At 36.5% G+C, this 24,288-nt stretch overlaps 1 long non-coding RNA gene across 1 annotated transcript in view; it reads right to left on the bottom strand.

Annotated features, from left to right (window-relative positions):
* LINC01362 (long intergenic non-protein coding RNA 1362) overlaps positions 1–24,288 on the bottom strand; it is a 263,633-nt gene that overhangs the window by 58,174 nt on the left and 181,171 nt on the right. Inside the window, exons 7-9 of the long non-coding RNA NR_147074.1 lie at positions 22,328–22,430; positions 14,659–14,841; positions 11,665–11,777 (exon numbers count right to left, since the gene is read on the bottom strand). This is a non-coding gene — a long non-coding RNA (long intergenic non-protein coding RNA 1362). The remainder of the gene's footprint in view (positions 1–11,664; positions 11,778–14,658; positions 14,842–22,327; positions 22,431–24,288) is intronic.

Raw genomic sequence — 24,288 nt, 5'->3', positions numbered from 1 at the left:
AGGCCTGAGTTATGTGCTCACACCTGGAGACTGTGGGAAAGGAAAGAGAATAAGAAATGTGTACTTCCCAGAAGGAAAAGATCTTATTTCTCAACATAAAATACATGTCAAATATGGCTATTTAATAGAATATTGTGTTACCATTAAGATCAGATTTTTGAAGAATATTATGTTTAATGACATAAAAGGCTCATGTATAATGTTAAATTAAAAAGTAGGATATTAAATGACAAAGAGTGAATGAATGAGAAAAAGAAAATGTGAATTCTGGAAGAGAATAAATGAGGTGTTAAGTGATAGTCAAGAAAATTTTCTCCCTTTGAGGGAAAATAAGCAAATATTTTATTTTTTAATGTTATTGATAATTTACCATGATCATGTATTTCACAAAAACATAAATAGATGGTTAGATAAGTAGATGAAGATAAGTATAAAATGCAGTGGGGCAAAGTGTTCATGAGCACAGCTTTTGTAGTTTTAACTTTCTGGGTTCTAACTCTGGATTTACCAACTATTATATATATAAGTTTGTGCAAGTTACTTAACATCTCAATCCTCAATTTCTTATAAGATAGGAATGATAGTGCCTATTTACTTTCTGTAAGGTAGGAATGATAAGGCCTACTTCATAGGATTATGGCAGGGAATAAATGATTCCTATAAACTGTGTGTTCGGCCCACATTTGGCTTAAAAATGTCATCATCATCAAGGTGTAGACCTGGTTAGAGGTGCGCCAAAAAGCAGAGAGACATGCTTCAACATTTTATGGAAGATTATCCATTCTTAAAGGACAATCATCTAGTAACTTTTAAAAACAACTTTTGGATTGGCTTTTATAACCAGTGCCTGAATGAAGTTGACTGAGTCAAATTCAAGACAAAAGAAAAGCCAATGGCTTATTTGTACTTTTGCCAAGAAGTAACCAAGGGCCTCTGTTCAAACACTAGGTATATTAGGTTGCTATCAGTCTGTCAGTCATCAGGGGATCAAGAGAGAGATAAGCTAGGTGGTTTAAGCCATGGCTATAGGCTCTCTTCAGGTAATTGTGCAGCAGTCTTCATTTCAGAGAGATCTTTTCTTTTTTTAAAAATTTGCTTCACAGTGAAATCTTTGTGGCCCTCATGTAAACTTCCCCAACCTCTAAGTAGGTGCCTAATTTTTTAATAAAAATAAATTTTAACTTATGCCTATCAGATGAGAAAACGAGAGAAAAATGTCACTGGCTGCTGCCTATCAAATAATTGGAGTCCTTGTGAACGGGCCCCTAGATGACACAGCAGTGTTAAATAAAAGATAAAATGGAAACAAGACTCTTTGAATAATACTGGCTGAAAGCAATTTTCTTCTTGAACTAGGGCACTGCTGATCTGAAAACCACAAATTTTGGGGAATCATGCAGGGCCTGATACTTTGATTGCATAGTTAATAAAGGATAAAAAAAACCTTCATCTCATACAGTTGATGATATGCAAAACAAACTCAAGATGTTCAGTGACAGAGTGGCAAGAATTCCAAATAAAAAAATGAAACAGGAACTAAGGCTGTTCTTTTAACTATTCACAAACTTACACCTATAGGGTCTGATGATTTTTTTTTTTTTTTTTTTGAGATGGGGTTTCACTCTTGTTGCCCAGGCTGGCGTGCAATGGCACAATCTCGACTCACGGCAACCTCTGTCTCCCGGGTTCAAGCGATTCTCCTGCCTCAGCCTCCGGAGTAGCTAGGATCACAGGCATGCGCCACCACACCCGGCTAATTTCGTAATTTTTTTTAGTGGAGACGGGGTTTCTCCATGTTGGTCAGGCTGGTCTCGAACTCCTGACCTCAAGCGATCTGCCCACTTCGGCCTCCCAAAGTGCTGGGATTATAGGCATGAGCCACCGTGGTGGGCCGGATGATTTGTTTTTCTTTTTAAACCACTGCACTGAGGTTTGGGGCCAGAAACTTAGTTTTAGATATTAATTCTCAAGATGTCTGCTTAGATATTGCCAGAAATTTATCTGACAACAAAAGTTAAATGCCTAAGGAGTTTTCATGTGTCAAAAAATTACTCTATCCAATTGAGAGTGTGTTTTAGGAAGACCCCTCCTTCTTCTGCCCCCTAACTTTCCTCCCGACATTGCCCTCTGTGTAAAGAAAGCTAATATATCTGACTCCATGGAAGCCACTTAGCTCAAGGCTCCCTGACAGTTTGTGTTCTTTCCCAGAATTGTGAAGTTTGGGTTTGAGAAAAAATAAGTATATTTTATATTTGTAAATGTATTCGTATTAAGTACATTCTTCTGCCAATATTGATGATGGTAAAAGGTTAATGAAAGAAATATAAGGAATGAGCCAGCCATTAAGACTCCAGGCAGAAAGAGAAATGTCTGGCCAGATGATATAATTCCAACAAGATAAAAGGGGTTAAGACTCCATTTAATCAAGTACAGCACAGGAAGAAAAGTTCCAAAAATTAGGTTTGATAGATGTAAGCAAGAGAGAAACATAGCATCATTTTTAAGAAATGAAAGAGGAAATTTTAGAGATGGAGCAAAGAGGTGACCAATGAGATGAGTCTTGCCTGGGTGGCAAGATCCATGGTACCTCCTGCCAGATTGTGCCTGTAATTGCCACAATCATTTTAGAAAGAAGTCTTGAAAACATTCTCTTAATATATATATATATATATATTTGCTTCTTTTTGCTAAATTCTGGGAATATCCTTGGATGTGGTAAGGGTCACTGAACTTTTTCATTTCAATTTAATGAAACTCTTTTATTTATGCTAAGATTCTGTCAATGTGAATATTATTCCATGCTCTTAGTGATCACAGTGTTTATGCTCTGCTTATGACATCTTCTTAATGAAAAGAACTTTGCTATGGTCTTGACCTTTTCTTTTCTCCCCAGATTATTTTCAGCCAGACTAGGCCAATTGAACTTGAGTCTGTTTCTTCTTTGTGCTTGATCAAATTGGTAATGGGGTAGGGGTTAGATACAGGAAAGGGAAGAATAAAGACCTGTGCTGTGAAAAATAGTAGCTGAGTTTAAAGGTGGCTTGACCCATAAACCTTTAATTTTATCAAGCTATGGCCTTTTTTCCCCTTAGAAATTATTTATGAGTAGAAATGGAAATTTTATTCTACTAATATAATTAGGCCATTCAGGGATAAGAATGCAAGTTCCTTGGCCTTTGGGTAATGATCTTCTTTGACTGATACTATCACCTGATCTGCAAGAAACTCTACAGGTCACTGATAGCCAGTGGGGAGGTACAAAAGAGGAACCAAGATTTCATAAGCAGAGATTGGCATTTAGCAGTAGAGCATTTATTCCTGGTATATATTTTAGGCTACATTATTGAGATTTACTCTCTAGAAAACAAATTAAAAGCTAAGTCTCAAAGAAATCAGGGCACTTAAGACCCTAGTAGAACCATACAAAGGCTTATCATGCTTAATCAGTGATTTACAGGCTTTTAAATCATTCATTTTGGGGACCAGGATTGATTCTGGAGCTCGAGATAAAGAAATGCAGCGAACACATCTAAAGGCAAAGAATAATAAACTGAGCACACAAAAATTGCCAAGCAAAACTAGGATATATGCATGTTCCTTCTTTTAAAATTATCATCTTTACCAAACTTTATTTGGCTTATGTGAATTCTACAGATAGCTTCCACATATTTAAATCCTAGAGCAACAACAGGTTGCTGAGATTGAGAAATAAGAAAGTCAAGGTTAAGACTTCTATGTCATCCTTAGTTCTAAATGATCTGCCCCTGATTTAGAGAGAGAGTCATCCATTGCCTAACTCTTTGATTGAGGAATTCTACAAGCAGATGATGATCTCCACTGGGAGGCCAAGTCAGCACAAGTTACTTTCTCCCCTAAAGCTGGAGCCAACATCTTCACGTTTGTCTATGACCATGTGTCATAGGTTGGGTTTTCTGGAAAGGAGACTGAGATAGATCATGAGGCAAATCAACAACTATAGAAGGGAGAGGAAGGGAGCAGATTCTGGCAGGAGTGATGCTGGCCTAATGACAACCTCAGCCAATGACCAACCTCATGGAGATACTTTAGAGCTAAAACCGTATCTTAATGTTGTCATGCATTGGCTGAAATGACCTGGCATTTGTATAAATACTCCAGCAGTCATTTGAAGTGGGCTGCTTTCTTAAGGGCACTGCCTTAGGTAAGAAAGTTCTCTGCAGCTGAAGCCATCCCTGAAGGGGCTACCAGCTGACACTTGCCTGCCAACAGCAACCTTAGCAGCTGGGAAAAGTCTTTCTTGAAGGGGAATTTAAACAGCAAGTTCTTTCTCTAAAGGGGATCTAGAGAGGGCATCACCATGGCCAACGCAACTTCAATTTCTGTTGTACTTACCTGTATTGGGTAGAAAAAAGCTGCATATAAATGTGGATCTCTTGGTGCACAGAAGATTAGTTAAAGGAAAATTTATCGTAATTTCCATGTAATTCTTGGAATGTTAATTCTTATGAATTTTTTTCTTTCTAAAAGAAGGCTTTCTAGTCATTTTCCCCCAAGTAGTAGTATAAAAATGCCTTGATCAGAGAATATATATATACACATATATATACATATATACATATATACACATATATACACATATATATACGTATATATATGCATATATACATATACGTACATATATATGTATATATGCATATATACATATATATTCTATATATATGCATATATATGTATAGATAGATAATACATATACATATATACATATATATACATACATACATATATTATATATATGTGTATATATATAAATACATGGTTATAGACTTATTTCCTCAAATCTGGGAGCTGTCAGTTGAGAAAACTTCCCATCAAGAGAACCTCAGGGCAGCTTTAAGTCTGGATGCACAGCAGTGTAGTCAACTTCAGGGGGTTAAAAATCCACTTAAGGTTTTAATAGTTTCAAGGAAAGTAGTTTCAAGACCCAGTATCTAGGACAAAAAACATCTCTAATATTCTGTAATTGTAACTCATCTGGTATAAGTTCTACCCCTAAAAGACCATTTTAAGTAGATTTTTCTTCACATTCTTGTGGTTGTAACCAAGGATCACAGTTGGAAAACAGAAGGAAAAAGTGTTGTCTCCCTGACCAGTGGCACAGAATTTTATCGAAGCATAGGAAAGCATGTAAAGATTATCTCTTTAAAGGCATTCCCTGGGCTGAGCTCCTTTACCAAACTCTCCTGCACTCTTTGGTGACCATAGGTGATTCTATGCTACCTAAACCTAAAACCAACATCTGGGAGAGCATACCGAGTTGATCTCATCCAGGACAATCCACTTTTTTCTTTATTAATTCCTTATTTAGCTGAACTATAAATATTATTAAACATTTGCTTATGAACTGCCAGAGCGCCATGCTGTTCAACAGATGAGGTTGGTGTGTTTTAATTTTATGCACACTCTGAACGTGCTTAGTTTAGCTCCTTCTCTGCACTCCACATTCTTTTAAATTCCAGATACTGGAGTTTCCCCTTACAGCCCAAGAAACAGATTTTCTTAATATTTTTCTGGTGGGGGGCAGGGGATTGCTTTGGGGACATGTGTGAAAGTTGGAGGATTATAGGGGTGGAATGGGTTATGACACATTTTCATTTGCAGCTGCTACGACTCCCTAGCCTTAATCCAGCCCAGATCTCAGCAGAAACTTAACACCACTCTGGTGACCCTGGAATTGCAGCAGAGGCTCAAATCACCAAATAAGGTAAGTCGTTTGTCATCTGAGCCATAAATATTTACATCCACTAGTGACAAATGTATAAAGAGTGTGGAGTGACTGTGTAATTTCAGCTGCTCTCCTCAAGCCTGTCAATAGTTTCTCTTATCTCTTGAAAGCCCCAATGACTGATTTCTGCTGGTTGAATAAGAATGCACTCTGCAGCTTGTTAACCTGCTTTAATTGTTCATTATAACCACATTAGTCACCTAGGAATTTTTTTTTTCCTTTTAAATTTAGGGCCCATTACACACATTTGTTGAGGCTGGGGACCATTCAGCCCCCTCCTGTGTCTCCCTCATTCTATCATATGTTCTATCCCATTGTTGCTACAAATCCAAGAGATTGTCCCCATTTTTTTTCTTCACTTTATTGAACTAAGAGCAACAAAACAATTCAATGTTTTTCTCCCTCCCACACACTCCCCACCCAGCGTGCATATAAGTGACTTAGGAGCTTAAGTCTTAATAATATCTCTAAGTAATTCTTAGACATAGACAGACAGTTCCTAAACCTTAAAAAGTGACCACACCACAAAGTGCTTATAATGTAAAAGTATTTTCCAACAAATGCCTAGAAAAATCTTTCAAATATTAATGGCCTGAAACTGATCATGTAAAGCAGATCCTGTTTTACTCTTCTATCAAGACGTAGACAACTAAGAAAAATAAAAAATCAGTTAAGATCACACTGTTGGTCTTTCATTCAATAAATCATTATGCAGAGCTTGCATTTATATATACTTACTACATAAAGAACTGCAAGGGTCAGATAGAGTGATAAACCCATATTTAAATGAATTTGAAATATGAGAACTGATATTATTATTAGAATTCAATATTATTATATCTCATTAATATGAGAACTGATATTATTATATTAATTCAACATTAAAAAACCTATCTTTTTTCTTTTGTTATAGGAATATGTTGACTGCTGTTGACTAACTGCATGTATACCTTTGTCATTAGGTGAAGAAAAATGGCTGTAGATTTCCCTGAAATGGTGTAGTGGTTTGATGGCTAAAATTCAATGCCCAAATGATAATTAGATTTACCAGCCTCTGTAGGATTTTTCCTGTAGGGAGAATTTGGGTTTAGCAAGAACTTAACAGAGCCTCAGAAACAACTGAGTTGATAACTTGCAGAAATGTGAACCCCACCTGAAAAGCAAGACTCAACTAACATGATCTCCTAAAAGTTTCCTAACACTCCAGCTCAATAAGGACTACACTTTTCTTGCTCCCATACCGTCCTATCTATATTCCCATTACAGCACCACACTGGAATTTGAGCTCCTCGATGCAGGAGTCAGTTGGTTCATTACAAAATCTCTAAAATTCAACACACTACTTTGCAGATAATTCGAGCATAGAAAATACTAGTTGAATGGATGAATGAGAAGGGAAGTTGAGAAAGACAAAAAGGAAAGGATCTTAAGAGAGGGAGTGTTCGAATTTTAAAATTAGAATTGCCAAGTGTCTGGAAATTAGCCCTTTCTTCTCATCTTCCTTATTAGTGCCTGCTTGTGTATATATGTATGTGTGCATATGTGTGTGTGTGTGTGTGTGTGCCTGTACATTATAGCAACCGATTAGGACAGCTCTGACTTTAATGTAGCAGTGACTTACAGAAGATTAAGCTACATTAGACTGCAGAGACACAGAGCTGACTTAAGAAGACTTATATTTGTATCCTTAAAAGTTATTTGGAATCTAGATATCCAAAATTAACAGCCATGTACAGAAGATAATTTTCAGTAACACACGGCTGCTATCCAGGGCCCAGTGCAGAAGTAACCTCTAGTGTACAATTACCTATTGACCGCCTGTTTGCCTTCAACTTTCCTAATATTCAGAGCCCTTCTAATGCTTTCTAGCTGTACAAAGTTCTTCCCTTACCACTGGTGCTTAATATCCTCAATGCTCTCAAATGATCTCTTCTTCCTCTGCCCAGCAAAACTCCCATTTCCTGAATTACTTATTTTCAGCTTGATATTCATGTGATTATTAAAATAATTGTCACTATGACTTAGAGATTTGATCTTCCCAGGATATTTGCTTTTAAAAGGAGGAGTTTCCTAGTCCAGATTAATTTCTAAGTGCTCAAATATTTATAAGAGAAGAGATATTTTAATCAGAATGACTTCTGGTGGCTCTTTTCTACACATACGTCTCCTGGCTAGGCACCCATTCCCATATTCATTGAATAACCCCGCCAAATAGTAAAATATAGAAGTCAGCACTGTTCAGTTTCATATGGTCGTACTCTGCATTCCCTTAGGTTTTTTGGCAAGTGTCCTTTTTACCCTGAAATTCTCAGTAAAAAAAAGAATTATAGTTAGACAAATGCAACAAGGCTTAAAAGGGTCATCATTCAAAATAGGAATCAAAATTGATAAATGTCAGTGTCACAGCCAACATTCCGTAGAGGCAGACAACCTGAGATTAAGACCTAAGACCTGGATGCAATCATATAGCCTCTTCCTCACCACTTCCTTATCTGTAAAATGGGAATAAATGCTCTTACGTGGGTTCAGAAAGTAATATATGTGAAAGTGCTGAGTCAACAAGCATCTAATATATCTAAAACAATGTTATTATCAATCAATAGACAACTTATATAGAATACTTAACATTTAACTATTATTCTTGAGCCAATATTTTCTCCTATGAAGAATGAATTCTCAGAAAAGAATGTATTTTATTATTTTAATTTTTTTTGGTCTTTACAATACAATTTAGTATTAAGATTTCAAAATAAAGAAGCCAATAGATTTTTCATTTTTATTCTGCCTCATAAGCTTTTTTTTCTTTTTCTTTATCTTTTTTTTTTTTTTTTTTTAGAGTTTGGGAATGAATACTAGAAGGTAGTATGTGTAAGTTATATGAAGACCTAATAAATTAGTGAGTGCACAGAACTCCAGAGTAATAATCAAAATCCCTCAAAGCCAGCCTCAATGGTACTTTTTCAACAAATAGACCTTGGGAATCTCACTGAATCTCACGGAGCCTTGGTTTTCATGTTGTGTGAAAGGGGATACTTCAACCATTTATTCAAGAAATACCATTAAGCACATTCTATATGTTTAGCATCAGTGATGAAAAACATAAACCCTGCCCTGGCGCCTGAGGGTTGACCTGCTCTGTCTATCACAAAAGAATTTTGTGAAGATCAAAGTAGGCCTATAAGAATGTGATTCAGCAACTGAAAAACTGTCTATAAATAGATACAATTAAGTCTTCACCATGCAAAGGGCTACCTATAAGAATGGTAAACAGTGATGTTTAATATTCAGTGAACATATGACTAAAGGAATAGGCTTTCAGATGTACTAAAAGAGCTTGCTAAGAGGGTATACGGAAGTTCTGTCTTATTTTTTTTGTTTGTTTGTTTTGTTTGTTTGTTTTAAATAAAGACTTAAATGCCAAAAAATGAGCAGGATGACCCCTTAAACTTCTTCCTACTTTTCCTTTCTGTAATCCTATGGCAGGCATATGTTGGTAACAATAGCTGAGGATTATATTTGAAAAATAATGGTACCCTGTCTTTATTTTTTATCTGAACATGCTCTAACCAGAATCTTTTTAAGTAGCCATCTGCAATTTAAATAAAGCCATTTCAGTTCATTTCTTTTGAACTTAAAATCTCTGGGAGTGTACAATAACAAACTCCTCTTATAAAACCTGATTTAAGTGATGAAAAATCAGTAAACTAGATAATAATTTAAGTTAATATATTTTCAAAGCCTTAAATTTCAATTCCAGAACTTGCAATTGAATATTAAAGCTCCAAGAAAAATTGTAGTTGGGCAGGTGAGTGAGCAAAAAATGACCAAATGCCTTTTGGTCTGAGTCATATGTTCTGTGTTGAAATTAGGTTCTGGGTGGGATTGTTTGCAATAGTTGCAGGTTTTCCATTTGCAAGAAGGCAGATTTTTTTATTTCATCAATATCCTCTCTTTCCTTATTGCCCTTGAAAGGCCCCAACAGTTCTAGTTACACGTGTGTGTATAATGTTTCTACATTGAGTTGATTCATTATATTGTCTCAAGCTTATTTCAGACAAGACTTCTACCTGCTTTAGTGCAATGGAAGCCTGTTCTATGTGACTTGAGAGAAAAAAAAAGAACTGTGGATCAGAGTGTCATGAAAAAAACGTATTGCATATCCTGAAACACCTAATAAGGTTGCTGCTAGGAGGGTTCTCGAAAATATTAGTGACACAAGAAATGTCTTTGGGAATATCTTCATCATATATATGTTTTTTTTTTCCTGAAGTGCTTCATTATTCACATATTATGAACTGTTCATAGGACTTGGCTTAGATCCTCTCCTTCAGGCACTCTGGTCTCCAGTGACTTCTTAAAGCAGTCTTAGCACATTCACAAGGCTTTTCATTGCAGTCCAGCCTGTTTGTAAAAACGATCCATCAATATCATGTTCAGATGACAGTCTATGTAGAACCTGCCTTTGCTTAAGCAGCCTGTCTAATGCTGAGAGTGTAGAATTCTATCCAGGAATGACATCTTGAATAAGTTTGGGTTGGGGCATATTGCATTCTTCTTCGAAACTATTTTTTCTTCTCTTCAGACATTTCCTTGCTTTTACAAGGCTGTAAAAATAGGAACACATTTTTCTTTCCTTTGAAATGATGCTGGCCCCAGCTTTGCTCTTCTCTGGGGTTCAAGATAATTAAATCTGCATGCGAAGAAGGAAATGTTTACAAAGCCATGATTTTGATGTCATATGCTGTATTCAACCCCAGTATGTATGACAGCCCATCCAACCTCTGCTTCTTGACATCAGTTGAATTATCTGGGTTGACATTTATGGAGACTATCATTTATAGGACTTTATGGTTGTCTTCTACAATAATATGCAAAGGAGTTCTCCAAAAGGTAGTTTCATAACTGTTACCCACATTCTGACTGATTCCTATACTTGCAGGAGAAGACATGACTAATTAGACTGAATTAAAAATAGCCAAGAAAGCTGTCAGTGACAGATATGTATTACTTCATGTACTAGTTCTGGTCCAGATGCTGAAGATATAGCATACTCTTCTCCCTTTTGCAGCCCTTAATTGAACTTCAAGTTGGTTTTGTGTATTTTTGGAAAGTGTTAATGGTTCCCCACCAAAAAAACACTCACTTTTTCTTCTCTTTAACATTACTACTTCACTAGTAGTCTTTTCCTCTCCCAGGGTGGGCTGGGCTGACACACAGCATGTGCCTTTTTCCCTAGATGCGAGGCTGTTGAAAGGGGTCTCATCGTTTGTTTTTTGCCTTCGGTACTCCTCACTGCATGCCCTAAGTCAGCTTATGTTTCTAATAGTCAAAACACAAACAGTCCCCCCAAAATATGACTTTATATTCTGGGGAATTGAGAAGAGGAGGACATCCAAGAAGAATATAAAATACTGTTTGCCATACATCTTTGTAGTCCACAGTAATCCCAACCTCTCATTCTAGAGGGTGGTCGGCTTTAAACAGCTTACTTGTTTGTCAAACTTAGAAAGACTGACACCACACTTGGATGTCTCCTTGTGGAATGCCTATGAGTATATTACTCACTATAATTACATATATTTTTTAAAACAATCTATATGCCAAGTCTTGAATTATATATATGCAGAATTTTATCTATTGTTAATGCTCTCAACAACCCTATGAGGAATGAACTATTATTTTCCCTATTCTCCAGTTATTGAAACTGAGGCTTAAAGAGATTTTATTTTTTCTAAGATAAGAGAGCTAAAACATGGCTAGAAGAGGACTATGTAGGCCAGTTTCTTCTGCCCCCAAAGGCCTATGATCTTAAATGCTTTATTACATTGCATCCTTAGGATCACAACATAGGAAAGACTTATTTTTAAATCATCACTTTATAAATGATGAGGGTAAGATCTTATGAGGTAGTGCTTGTTCCTCATTATTTAACGGCGGACCCAGGATTCCAATGTGGAGTCTTCTAACCTTTGGTCCACATTCTGGGCAATAATTCCTCTAGTGATAACAGCAGATCCTTGAAGAAATAATCATGTTAAAATACATTATACAGATAATGTTCAGGTTTCATATCTGTCTACTACTTTGCACCCCACCTAACAGCTAATCAATCTTTTATCATTTCTCATATTGTAAAATACAAAGTTTTGAAATTCAAGAGTAAAAGAAGCTTGACCACACTTCACCTTGAAGTTTCTGTCCTACTTCATTTCTACACAAACACTCCGATCTATCACATTCCTTTACTCTTATCATATAGAACAGCCTATGTGAATTTTTCATTTGTACAATTAATCCTGTTTGTTCCTCTATTTACTTTTCCCGAATTTTATGAATTATAATTATCATTATGTTCCAAAGGATGTAACTGAGGTTTGTAGAGGTAGGGTAAATTGCTTGGCTTATTTAAATTGTAATTTCCTTAAAGAAAGCAGTATGGTGCCATAGAGAGATCGTGAGTCTGGACACAAGAGTGAACTAGCAACAGATAAATTTGGTGAATTTCTTCTACTTCTCCAAAAAAGCAGTTTTTTCGTTTGAAAAGTTGAAGTAACACTATCCAACTCAATGAATTGGAAGGGTCAAGTGTGATACTGTTAGAAAAGCACCCAACACATAGTAGACTCAAAAATGTGTAGTTTTCTTTTCCTTTACATTCCATAAAATTGCCCAAGAAATGTTTGCTGTTAGGCACAACATTTTTAATTCAAGTGTTTGTTAAGATAGAGAGGAGCCTGAGTAGACTGTCTTTTGCCTGATGCTTAAAAACGCTTAGGGTCCAGTCAGTGATGTGGATTCAAAATGGAGTGAAGCTGTTTAGCAACAATGTAAGTTAGTTCAGCCACTATGGAAAGCAGTTTGGAGATTTCTCAAAGAACTTAAAGCAGAAATATCACAACCTACCAATCCCATTACTGGGTATATACCCAAAGGAATATAAATCGTTCTACCAAAAAGACACATGCACCCATATGGTCATCACAGCATTATTCACAATAGCAAAGACATGGAATCAACCTAGATGCCCATCACTGGTGGAGTGGCTAAAGAAAATGTAGTACATATACACCATGGAATACTATACAGCCATGAAAAAATGAAATCATGTTCTTTGCAGCAACACGAACGCAGCTGGAGCCGATTATCATAGGCAAATTAACGCAGGAACTGAGAACCAAACACTGCAGGTGGGAGGAGGGAGAGAATGTTCCCTACTATTTAGTAGCAAAACTATCAAGTACCTATTGAGTACTATGCTCACTACCAGGGTGATGAAATCATTTGTACACCAAACCACAGCAACATGCAATGTACCCATGTAACAAACCTGCACATGTACCCCCTGAATGTAAAAGTCAAAAAGAAAATTTAAAAATCTCCACTTTTCACAATCCCCTCACACTTATTGAGAAAGCAGGCACACTAAACCATTCTCTTATTTCTTCATGAAGGACTATCACTCCAGAATGTAACACAGGAAAGAAGAGAGAAGAAGAGAAAGGAGCTACCTGATGAAAGCACAGACCTCTATTTGGCTTGGAATCTGGGTTGTGTCATTAGGGCTCAGGCCCAAGTGCTTTTTTAAGGGACAATCTTCAGATACTGCTCCCTCTAACACACGATTTTATTAGATGATAATAGAAACTGGATTTGCATTATAATAGAGTTGCTTGTGCTGGACTTCAATATTTTAACAACCACATAAGTTAAACATTCAAAACTTCAGTGGATAGTGTTTGACACAAAGATAGGAAGAAAAATATCTAAATCACAAAGCATTCAAGTCCCATATTTTAAAGCTTTGACTGATATATTTTCTTACACCTGTATCTCAGCCAACAACAATAATAATGGCAATGAACCGTTATAGCCCTCTTATAGTGAGCACCATTGCCCCTTTCATAAAGAAGAAACTGAGGTCGAAGGATTGAACTGTGTTTCATGGTCTCGATGAATGGACTGAATTGTGCCAGACACTGGAAAATGTGTTCTCTTTCTTTTCTAAATCAAAACATCATTCTGGTTATATAACATTCTTATCTATAATCCCTGCTTCTCAGTCTTGATAACCACAGAAGAAGCTGATTTTTTTTCTATGTGAAAAGAAATGTAATTTAAATCTCTACTTACAATTCTTGTATAAATTTTGTTAAGTAAACTTCCTCCATGTAAGAGACATAGGGATATTCAGAAATCATTTCCTAAAGAATTCTTTTACCAGTAATTTGTAAAAGTTGCTGGGTTGCTAAGCTATGGTTAAGGCATTAGGAGTTGTGTTGTTTTGAAATGAAATTAGTTAAGTGGAAAATTACTCCCTATTCACCCCCAGTTACTCAGGTCACCAACTATATGGTTTCCTCAGGGCCAAATATGTTTCTGTGCAACTTTATGGTATATGTTGAGCTTCAAAGATAAATGGAAAATTTATTAAGTGACCTAACCTGACTTTCCCCAAATAGAGGGTGGCTTGTGTATCTGTCAGGGCAGGCTACGTTTTGCTGTGGTAACAATTCCAAAAGCTCAATGATCTAACACAATAAATAGATTTTCTACTCAGTCTATGTGAACAAAACAGGTCAGCAATAGGACTCTGTTCATTATAGCAATCCAAGGGACCGCCATCTCATAGATGCTTCAGCTCAATCCATACTGCCGCAATTGTGTGCTAAGTGGAAGGTTGCATGGCGCATCACACATTGGCTCTTGTGGCTTCCACCTGGGTGAGACATGCATCACTCCTACTCATTTTTTCACTGGCCAGAGCAGACCTCATGACCATGCCTAATTTCAAAGAAGGAAGAGAAGTACAATCCCTTATTTGCCTGGAGGAGGAGGTCTGGATTATATATAAACAGCCCTATAGTGCCTACCATAGCAGGTATTCCAGCTTCACTTACCAGATGGTTTGGGGCCATTTGCTTTGCTTCCACAATAAAGAGAGGTCAAACCACCCACTTCAAAAAAGGCTGAACTCCTTTGTGCTAGCCCATAGGTGGTTGGCCTTCAAGTCTGTGTAAGCTGCCATGGCTTATTCATCATGCTTAGGATATGAACTTGTTTCAACTTTTTGTCCAAGCTCTCTGTGAATGAAAACAAGTAAATCTTATGTATTGGTAGAGAGTTGTTGAAGTTACATTTGGTAAGATGCTTGGTAAATGTCAGTCATTTAGGCCCCATGAATTTCTCCTTAGTTCATCTACTGCACTTCCTTTTGACTGGCTTGCAAGTAATAGGATAAGCATGAAGACTAGAATTACTTGCCAAATTTGAGAACTGACACTCATTTTTTTTAAGTATATACTCTCTTCTCTCTCATGGAAAAGATGAAGGTAAGATCTAGTGATAATTACTTAAGCTATTTAAGGAGTAGTTGCTGGAATAATTTTCTAAATTCAAGTACAGCAAATATTTGAGTTTTTAAAGTAAAAATACCCTAATGTGAAAGGACGGAAAAACTAGGTTGCAAGATAAGATGGAGTATCAATTAAAGAGAAGTATATTGCTTAAATTGGGCAATAACAAACGACATAGACAGAGATAATTGAATACAAATAAGAATATTTGAATGTGCAATTGTACCTAAAGAAATATCAGTTTAAATGTTAATATTTAAAAAGTTTAAGTTTGTACTATTTTGCTTAAATGGTTATTCTTTGTTAGAAAAGGAAATATTTATAATCTATATCTAGGAAAGTTGTACTTTCTTTAGTGAGATTTTGTATTTTAGATTACATTATTTTCTGGTTCCAGGGCGCTCTCATCTCGGGATCAGAAAATCAGAACTTTTAATTGCTAAATATGAACACCAAGTAATGAGGTGAGAGTTAATGGTAAAGGAGCCAAAGACCCTGTGAGAAGCTTCTATTTCTGCTTTTCCCAACATAACAATATTGAATGTCATGTAATAGTTTTGTCCTTACTCTCCAACATATGTGATTATGTGACAGTTACATATTTTTATGTCTAAGGTAGCTAACCTGTTTTTGGATGCAATCCAAGACAGCTTTGGGATATTTTAATTTTCTTGTACAGTTTTTAGCAAAGCATTTAAAGATTGATATTAAAATGGTATTTGGTTAAAAGAACTTTGGACACTCCAATACTATCTTAAAGTCATCAACTTTACCCCACAAAGGCAAATATATGTGCCAAAGACAATGTTTACAAATTAATATTACTCCAAGATTATAGCCCTACACTGCAAAATACAATTCCTATGAGCAAGTCATCCATTTGTGCAGACATGCTTTTTCTTAGATAAAAAATCATTCTAAAAGTGAATCCAAAGCAGGCTCAACTTCTGGCTTTTCTTCTTTTCTCACTAAAATGGCACACTAACATAAAAGAGAAAAAATACAAAGTTGGACATCACTGATTTGGGTAGGCCTTTGGAGGTGGTGGAGAATTGAGAGGTCAGAAGGAAAAACATAGACCTTGTCTCAACTCACTGTTTTGGCATCCCAAGAGAAGAGCTGAATTACAATAATACATAGGATCATTATGTGTCTCTTTGTTTAAACTATAGGATGGAATAGGATTAACCAATTGGTATTGTGGTGTAGGTGAGTTGTGGAAATAGATTGCATATGCTGTGGTTGTTCTGCATTTTTTTAAATCAGTTATGTGATAAATCTATATATATTGATAGAGGTTAGAAAGGAGTGGTTATAAATTCAAGTGCATGGCCAAGAGTGCTTCTACCTTGCACATATCTGAAAATCTTGCCTTGATTTATTTTATATTGTTTGAGGAAAAAGTGAGATTAAATATGCCAACTACCTAGAATAAGACCTGAAACATAGTAGGAGCTTCAGAAATACTTGTTATATTTATTAATAAATTAATAATGCCTATTCTTTGATCTAATGATAAGTATTGCTAATGAAAGATGAGGATACACTTACTTAGTACTTCCCAGAATTTAAAGCCTTATTAAGAAGTTTGTACATTACCCACTATTTTTAAAGCTTCATTTTGGTTTGAGATCTGAGGACTGATTGTTATATACAGGCTTCTTCTAAAACATGCCAGCCTTCTTAATGTAATTTTCTGTACATCAGTTGGTGTATCATTAGATAATGTGCTGAAGGGTACAGCAACAGCATCTTAAGAGATGGTACAAACTCAAAGTGCTTACAGGGGTTCTCTTTTTTTTATATTCTGTAAAAATAATCTCTATGCTTAATTCCTTGCTGCTATCCACTCTGTCAATTTGAGTTGCAGGTGACACTCAGTGATTAAAATTTTTAAGTGCTGACATTTTTATATTCTAATTTCAAAATTCACTGCTATGTATTTGCTGAAATTGATGTGTTAGCTTTACTTATTTGAGCCAGCTGGTCCAACATAGAATTTTTTTTGAAGATTTTAATATACTAGGCTTAATAAATTCTTTAACTACTTTTTCACGTTTCATTAAATTACACTTGGAAGTGCTTGCTGATTAGCCACTTCACAGAAAAAGCAAAGTTAAAGTTATTAAAATATCTTCAATGCCTAAGAGGAAGTATGTTATTTAGAGAAATAACAAAAACTGAATTGCTTATAATTTTACTCATTGAATGTTGTCCTCTTCCCATCCACCTTCCTTCAATAGTACTGTAAGTACAAAAAAACTTGTACTGTACTTGAAGGATTTTGTTCTTTATTCTTGTGTATTTTTAAAAATGCTAATAGTCTACATCTAAATATAAGTTTATGTGTACTGGGAATATGTTCTTAAAATTAGCTTCATAAAATATAGCATGTCCTTATTATTTGGCATTTTTAGACATGAGAGGTATCATACGTATAACAACATATATTATCAATTTTCAAAACATTACAAGAGGAAGAACTTTAAGCTTTAGACTTCACATAGTGCAATCTCGCTTTAATGATTCAGAAAGAATTTAAAGACTAAAATGTCATGTGATCAATATTATAAACTTAATTTGTCTCCAACACTTTCTCACTTTTGAGAGATACCAAATGAATAGCACACTCAGTTAATCAAATGTAATGTTGTTCCTTTTAGAAATTCTAAATTAGAGCAGTAATTCTCAAAATGTGGTCCCCAGACCCACAGTGTCAGTGTCATCAGAGACCTTTGAGCCTTTCCCCAGACCTACTGAATCAAAACATGGGGGTGGGGCCCAGCACTCTGTGTTTATCAAGTGCTCCAGGTGATTCTGATGCAGCTAAACTTGAGAGCCACTGATTCAGAGATTCACTATGGAGCAAAAGAAACATGAGCTGATGACCTTGATCTTGGTTTTATTGACTATAGGGTAGCAATGCCAAGTATTGGGCAGTCCCTTTAGAGCAAAGTGTGGGTCTTAAGCGGCAATAAATTTGAAAGGGAAAATTTTTGTTTCCACTAAGGTCAGAAGATTGTTCCAAGGCCTCACAAGGAATGTAGCTGCTGATTAAAATTCTTATGAACACATAACCACAAAACAATCCTTTCACCTTGGCTTGGCTTTAGTTTCAGGATATCCCAGGTGGGTGGGACTAATTCCAGGGCGTTGGTGGTTACAGATTCCCCAAGTTGCTAAGGAGGTTCACTTGGATTTGTGCTATTCCTTTGGCATGAAATAGGGGGTGAGGAAATACCTAAGGTTTTTAAAGATTGCAACTGAGAACAATCGTAGGGATTATAAAGAACATTAATTGAGTGTAATGTTACCAGATAAAATACAGAATGCTGTGTTAAATTGGAATTTCAGGTAACCCACAAATAAGTTATCTGAGTATGTCCCATGACATATCTTGGGCATACTTATACTAAAAACAATATTTGTTATTTATCTGAAATTCAAACTAAACACAGCATCATATATTTTTATTTGCTAAATCTGGCGATTTTAATTGATTGTCTACTATGCCCATTTAATCTTTCCAATAAAATACTTACTGTATTTAGATAACTAGATATTTGCTGTTGTGTTGATAGGTTAATTTATAATTTTAAACTTATCAAATATCATATTTGTCTGTGAGGGTGTTGCCAAAGGAAATCAGCATTTGAGTCAGTGGGCTGGGGAAGGCAGACCCACCGTTTATCTGGGTGGGCATCATCTACTCAGCTGCCAGCGAATATAAAACAGGCAGAAAAACATGAAAAGGCTAGACTGGCTTAGCCTTCCAGCCTACATTTTTCTCCCATGCTGGATGCTTCCTGCCCTCAAACATCAGACTCCAAGTTCTTCAGCTGTGGAACTTGGACTGGCTTCCTTGCTCCTCAGCTTGGAGATGGCCTATTATGGGATCTTGTGATTGTGTGAGTCAATACTAGTTAATAAACTCTAATTTATAAATATATAGATATATCTATCTATCATCTATCTATCTATATAGATATACATACATACATTAGTTCTGTCCCTCTAGAGAACCGTGACTAATATAGAAGGCATGGGTTGGCATTGCCTCCAAGTTAGCCTCATTACTGGCTGGCTAGTAAGCTTTAGTATTTGCAGTTCAGTGTGAATAATTGAAACTAGTCCTTATGTTTGGAAAAAAATAATTAATATAGCTTCTTCTCCCATAACTCTTTGAGTCTGAGGCATTCTTTCCATAGGTGCTGTCTTATTTTCTGTTGTCATAACAATATCAAAACTGGGTAACTTACAAAGAAAAGAGATTTATTTGGCTCATGGTTCTGGAGACTAGGCTTCTTGTGAGGGCCTTCATGCTGTGTTATTCCATGGCAGAAGGCAGAAGGCAGAAGGGCAAGTGAGTAAACAAGACAGAGAGAAAGAAAGAGGGTGGAACTACCTTTTATAATAGACCTAGTCTTGTGATAACTCACTTCCAAAGTAACAGCATTAATCCATTAATCCATTCATGAAGGCACAGACTTTATAACATAATCACCACTCAACTTAATAGTGTTACAATGGCAACTAAATCTCAACATGAGTTTTGGGAAAGACATTCAAACCATAGCAGGTGCCAAGGTTTGGCTTTCCCTCCACTACACAAAAATTGGTGTTTTCTATTCCTGCAGTCATCATTGTGTCTTTAGGCAATCATCTTGTACTTTCATGCAGACCTTTTTTTCAGAAAGCTTATGTGTAAATGAGGCAGGACAATTTTATAAAAATGAGAAAGACCCATTATGTCCCCCACTTTTGGTATATGTGGGCTACTGTAAGGGGACTTGGAGAGAAAGGTCATCAGCAATGTTGTTATTATCCTTATGATACAGGATCATGTCAATCAATCAAGAGAATCTAAGTAACTGATCCAAAATTAAATTTGAATTACCTAGACCATCTTTTCACTAGGCTGCCACCAAGAGAGTTAAGAACCAGGCTTTCTAAACCCTTCATTCTAAATCAAGGGAATGAAAGAAGAATCATGCCTAGGAATGGTCAAGGCAGAATCCTAAATGGTCTATATAGTTCCCCCACCTTTCATCTTGATTATTATCCAGGAAGCAGCCAAAGGGAATGCTGTCTTTCAGAGACAGCCAAATCCAGTGACCAAACTGCCTTACTAAGGAAGAGGTGAGAAGAGTAGAGCTGGAAATTTTCCTATGTTGATTTTTGAGGAGATCCTTTCAATGCTCAAACTGACCAGGTGCCTGTGGGTGTTACAGAGCACGGTAGCCCATTGAATACCTTGACCAGCAGCTCTGTAACATCAGAAAGCTGAAAACATGACACAGATTAGGATCAAGAACCATGGTAGTGTGGCCAGAGTTGGCTGATTGGACTGGAAGAGCAACACTGTGACCTGAAAAGGCACTGACAGCAGTGAGGCAGCACTTTAGCCCAGAACAGTTAGTAAAAGTTTCAACTTAGTCATTTTTCCAGGAATGAATAAAAGCAATGCCTCATGTGTTGTGGCCTCCTTCACTACTAAAACACTGGTCAACTTTAGCAGGATTCACAACTTCTGACATGCATTCGTAACTTCTGTGTCAGAGAGATAGAGTCCCTTACTTTGTTCCTAGTCTATAATAATGGGTATGGTGCTGTGTTTAGTAGCATGATGGATCTGGGCAATAACGATGGCAATTGGGAGTGTTCAGGTTTGATTCTATTCAGTCTTCTCAGAGAATGAGATTTTACCATGGACATCTACATGAGTGACGAATTGCTCCCTTGCCATGATTTGTATCCGTCATTCACAGCTCCAAAAAGGGGTATCTTCAATTTGCCAGCTTGTGGTTTTCTACAATTGCTAGTCCATTGGCAATAAGTCAGTAAAAATATAGCATTTCATCAAAGGAGTAGTAGCCAGAGCTGTGAGAAGAGCATTGAGTTTTGCGCTCTGAATGGACCGACCCCATCCATTTTTCATTCTGCATTGCAGATACTGAGGTTAAATGGCTGTGGTAGTCCAATGGACAACATTAAGCTTCAGCTTAGCTAAACTGTCAATGAACCCAGTCAAAGCTTTTAGGGAACATCTGTGAATCAAGGACCCCTTGGAGCCAGCTTTTCTGTACATAAAAAGAGTGGAGATAAAGCTTCCCACAGAGGGATAACTGTCAGCTATTCTTGTAAAGCCAAGATACCTCTGAGGTCAGGGATGTTGTTAAAAATATCATTGGCATTGGACAAGCAAGGCTGGTTGGTAACTCAGTAACCTCCCATCCTGGTAGTTATTGAGTCTGAGTTGACATACACTCAAATGGAAACGCTCAGCAGTAGCGTTACAAGTCGTCCATGGGCCGGGAGTTCGGTTTTGGCAAGACCCCAGGAACAAGCCAATACTTGCTTCTCAGAAAGGGTGGTAGCTGCGTCACAGAAGCAATGAGTCCAAACCATAAGAAGCTCCCCTAAATAGAGGTTACTTTCCTCTGATAGGATACTTGGCAAAGCCAAGTCACAGAGACTTTCAATGTAAAGGAACTTATTTTGTGGTTTTATTTGGGTTAGTAAAAATCTTTATTGAGAAATGAGGGTTCCAGAATATACTTTGAATTTACTAATATGATTGTTCTTAAGGGATTTTTTTTTAGGAGTGTGGGGCCCCAAATGTAGAGTGTGCCACAACTTTCTAGACAATCTATTAATTTGGACCTCACACACAAAACATGCTGATTTGTGGCTTAGCCAATATAATAGACCCAGTAGAATGCCCCAGGTAGAAATACACTGTCCCGAATAGTCAAGCAGTTCAGTAAGGTGTTGGGCCTCATTTTGGTGGTAGAAAGCTGAAGCAATATTTTTTTCTTTGACTGCTAGGAAACTGACATTAAGAATCTGCCCATATATGGAGGTTGCAGTGAGCTGAGATCGTGCCACTGCACTCCAGCCTGGAGGACAGAGTGAGACTTCATCTCAAACAAAACAAACAAAACAAAACAAAACAAAACAAAACAAAACAAAAGAATCTGCCCATATAGTCTCAGGAAACTTTACCTGGTGACTCATAAAATGCTTTCTTGTTTCAGTGGGAAACAGTCTTCCAAGGCTACTTGCTATACAAACATCCTTGAAAGATAGCCCAGAAGAAAGGACAGCCAGTGCCTCTGCTCACAACACATGCAAAAATGTGAGCGACCCATGGAGAATTATCTCTCAGTACTACACACTGAAAAGGGTGAATTTCACTTCATGTAAACTATACCTGATTTTTTGAAAATCCATTTAAGCTCTCATTGAAGAAATCGGAAGGATGGGAAGGTGATCTCAAAGTTATTTCTTCACTGTCCTCAAGGGATTTATTTCCTCTGTAAGACATTTTTGGGTTTTGTTTATTTTTTTAAACATACAATTGGATTGCAAACTAAACAAACAAAAAAACGTGCAGATCCTTAAGTGAAAGGACCTAATAATGTACATACTATATACTCAAATGCCATTAGCACTAAATTTATTAAACTGAATTCATTCACTTCTACATACCTTGAGACATATATTGAGATTAGTGAAGACATATTGCTTGATATTATAATTGCCACTTATTTTCAGAAAAGGTCAAATGTGTGATGATCTATTTCTTAGTATTCCAAAGGATCCTATAGACTCAGGAATAAAAAAAGTCTTGAATAATTCCATGAGAAGAATGGAAGTTCCTGTCATTGATTGCATACTCTGAAACTCAATATTTTACTTAATATAAAAAGAACTTACTCTAGATTGCTCTATAGACAAAGGGTTTCTGGGTCTTTGGCCCATAATGGTTCTCAGTTCTGACTGCATACAAGAATTACCTGGGGAGCTTTAAAAATAATGATGCCAGACTCCATGCCTACAGAGCTTGATTTAATTGGTCTGGGGTGGGGCTTACGCTTTGGTGTTTTAAAACATTTCCCATGTTATTCCAGGGTTACAGCCAGGATTGAGAACCCCTAGCCTGTGCAATGGAATATGCTGCCATGTAAGTTTGCTGTAGCTCCTTGGTCTTGTGAGAACATTTTAACTCAGAACCTTTAGTATTATATAACTGTTTGAAAAAATAAAAGTACACAAAACAGTTTAGACATTTTATGGCTTTGACTTTAAAATTCGGAATGAAAGGTGAGACTCAAAGTATGTCATTAATTTATTTCAGCAGTTCTTAATTTGGGCGGGATGGAGGAGGCAAATCGGAACCACCTGGGTCATTTTTTTCAAATTAAAATAGCCATGTTCCCACCATGAGATCTTAATATTTGAAAAGGCATGTGAGTTGGGGAGGGAGAATTGTATAATTTTTAAAAGTTCTCCAGATGATTCTGATCCCCACATGGCTACAACTAATTCAACTTTTGTAGAAAACCACTGGATTACTTCTTTTTCTTCTAACTTGCCAAAGGAGTTAGATCGATGTTAAAAGGATCAGCGGTCAACCACAAGTTTTTACACTCTTGTTATGTGATCAGGTTAATCTTTTGGGAAGCCTCAAAATACACGTCTTATAAGAGGAACGCTATTGGTTAAGAAAGACACCACAAATTAGAGCAATTTAGGCACAGACATAGCCAAAAGCTTTCCTACTTTTAAAAATAAATGTATTCTAGGAACAACTACAAACTTGTGATTATTCTTGGCAATATAAAATTTATACAATGAAAAGGAATAATCGTGTTAGTCCATTCCATGTATCATATTCTGGAACCTACACTTCTCAATAAAGTTTTTGACTAATCCAGATAAAACCACAGAATAAGTTCCGTTACATTTAAACCTAAAAAAAGGAATTTTAAAACTTCATTTCTATGGATACACTATGTATGTGACTTGCTCAGAAAGATAAGTCAGAGGTGTCTCCCTCCAGTTTTTCAACCCCTTGCTACTCAAAGTGTGGTCCGTGGACCAGCAGTATCTTACTACCTTGGGACTTGTTAGAAGTGCAGAATCTCAGGCTCCACCCTACACCAATCAAGTTGGAATCTACATTTTAACAATATTCCCAAGTGATTCATATGCACATTAAAATTTAGAAACTACTGCTCTAGCCCACTGTTTTTAAGACAATCAACTAAACGTCTGCCCAGAAACAAGCAATAGTGCCCATAAAATGGCAGTAGAGCAAACAACATAAAAAATAATTTGTTTTATTAATAACAGAATGATTTACAAGGACAAAAATAAAAGATTTTAAGA

This window comes from Homo sapiens, chromosome 1 (assembly GCF_000001405.40).
Source record: "Homo sapiens chromosome 1, GRCh38.p14 Primary Assembly".
Lineage (NCBI taxonomy): Eukaryota > Metazoa > Chordata > Mammalia > Primates > Hominidae > Homo > Homo sapiens.
Note: the sequence above shows the minus strand (reverse complement) of the source record. Positions and strands in the feature narration are given on the sequence as shown.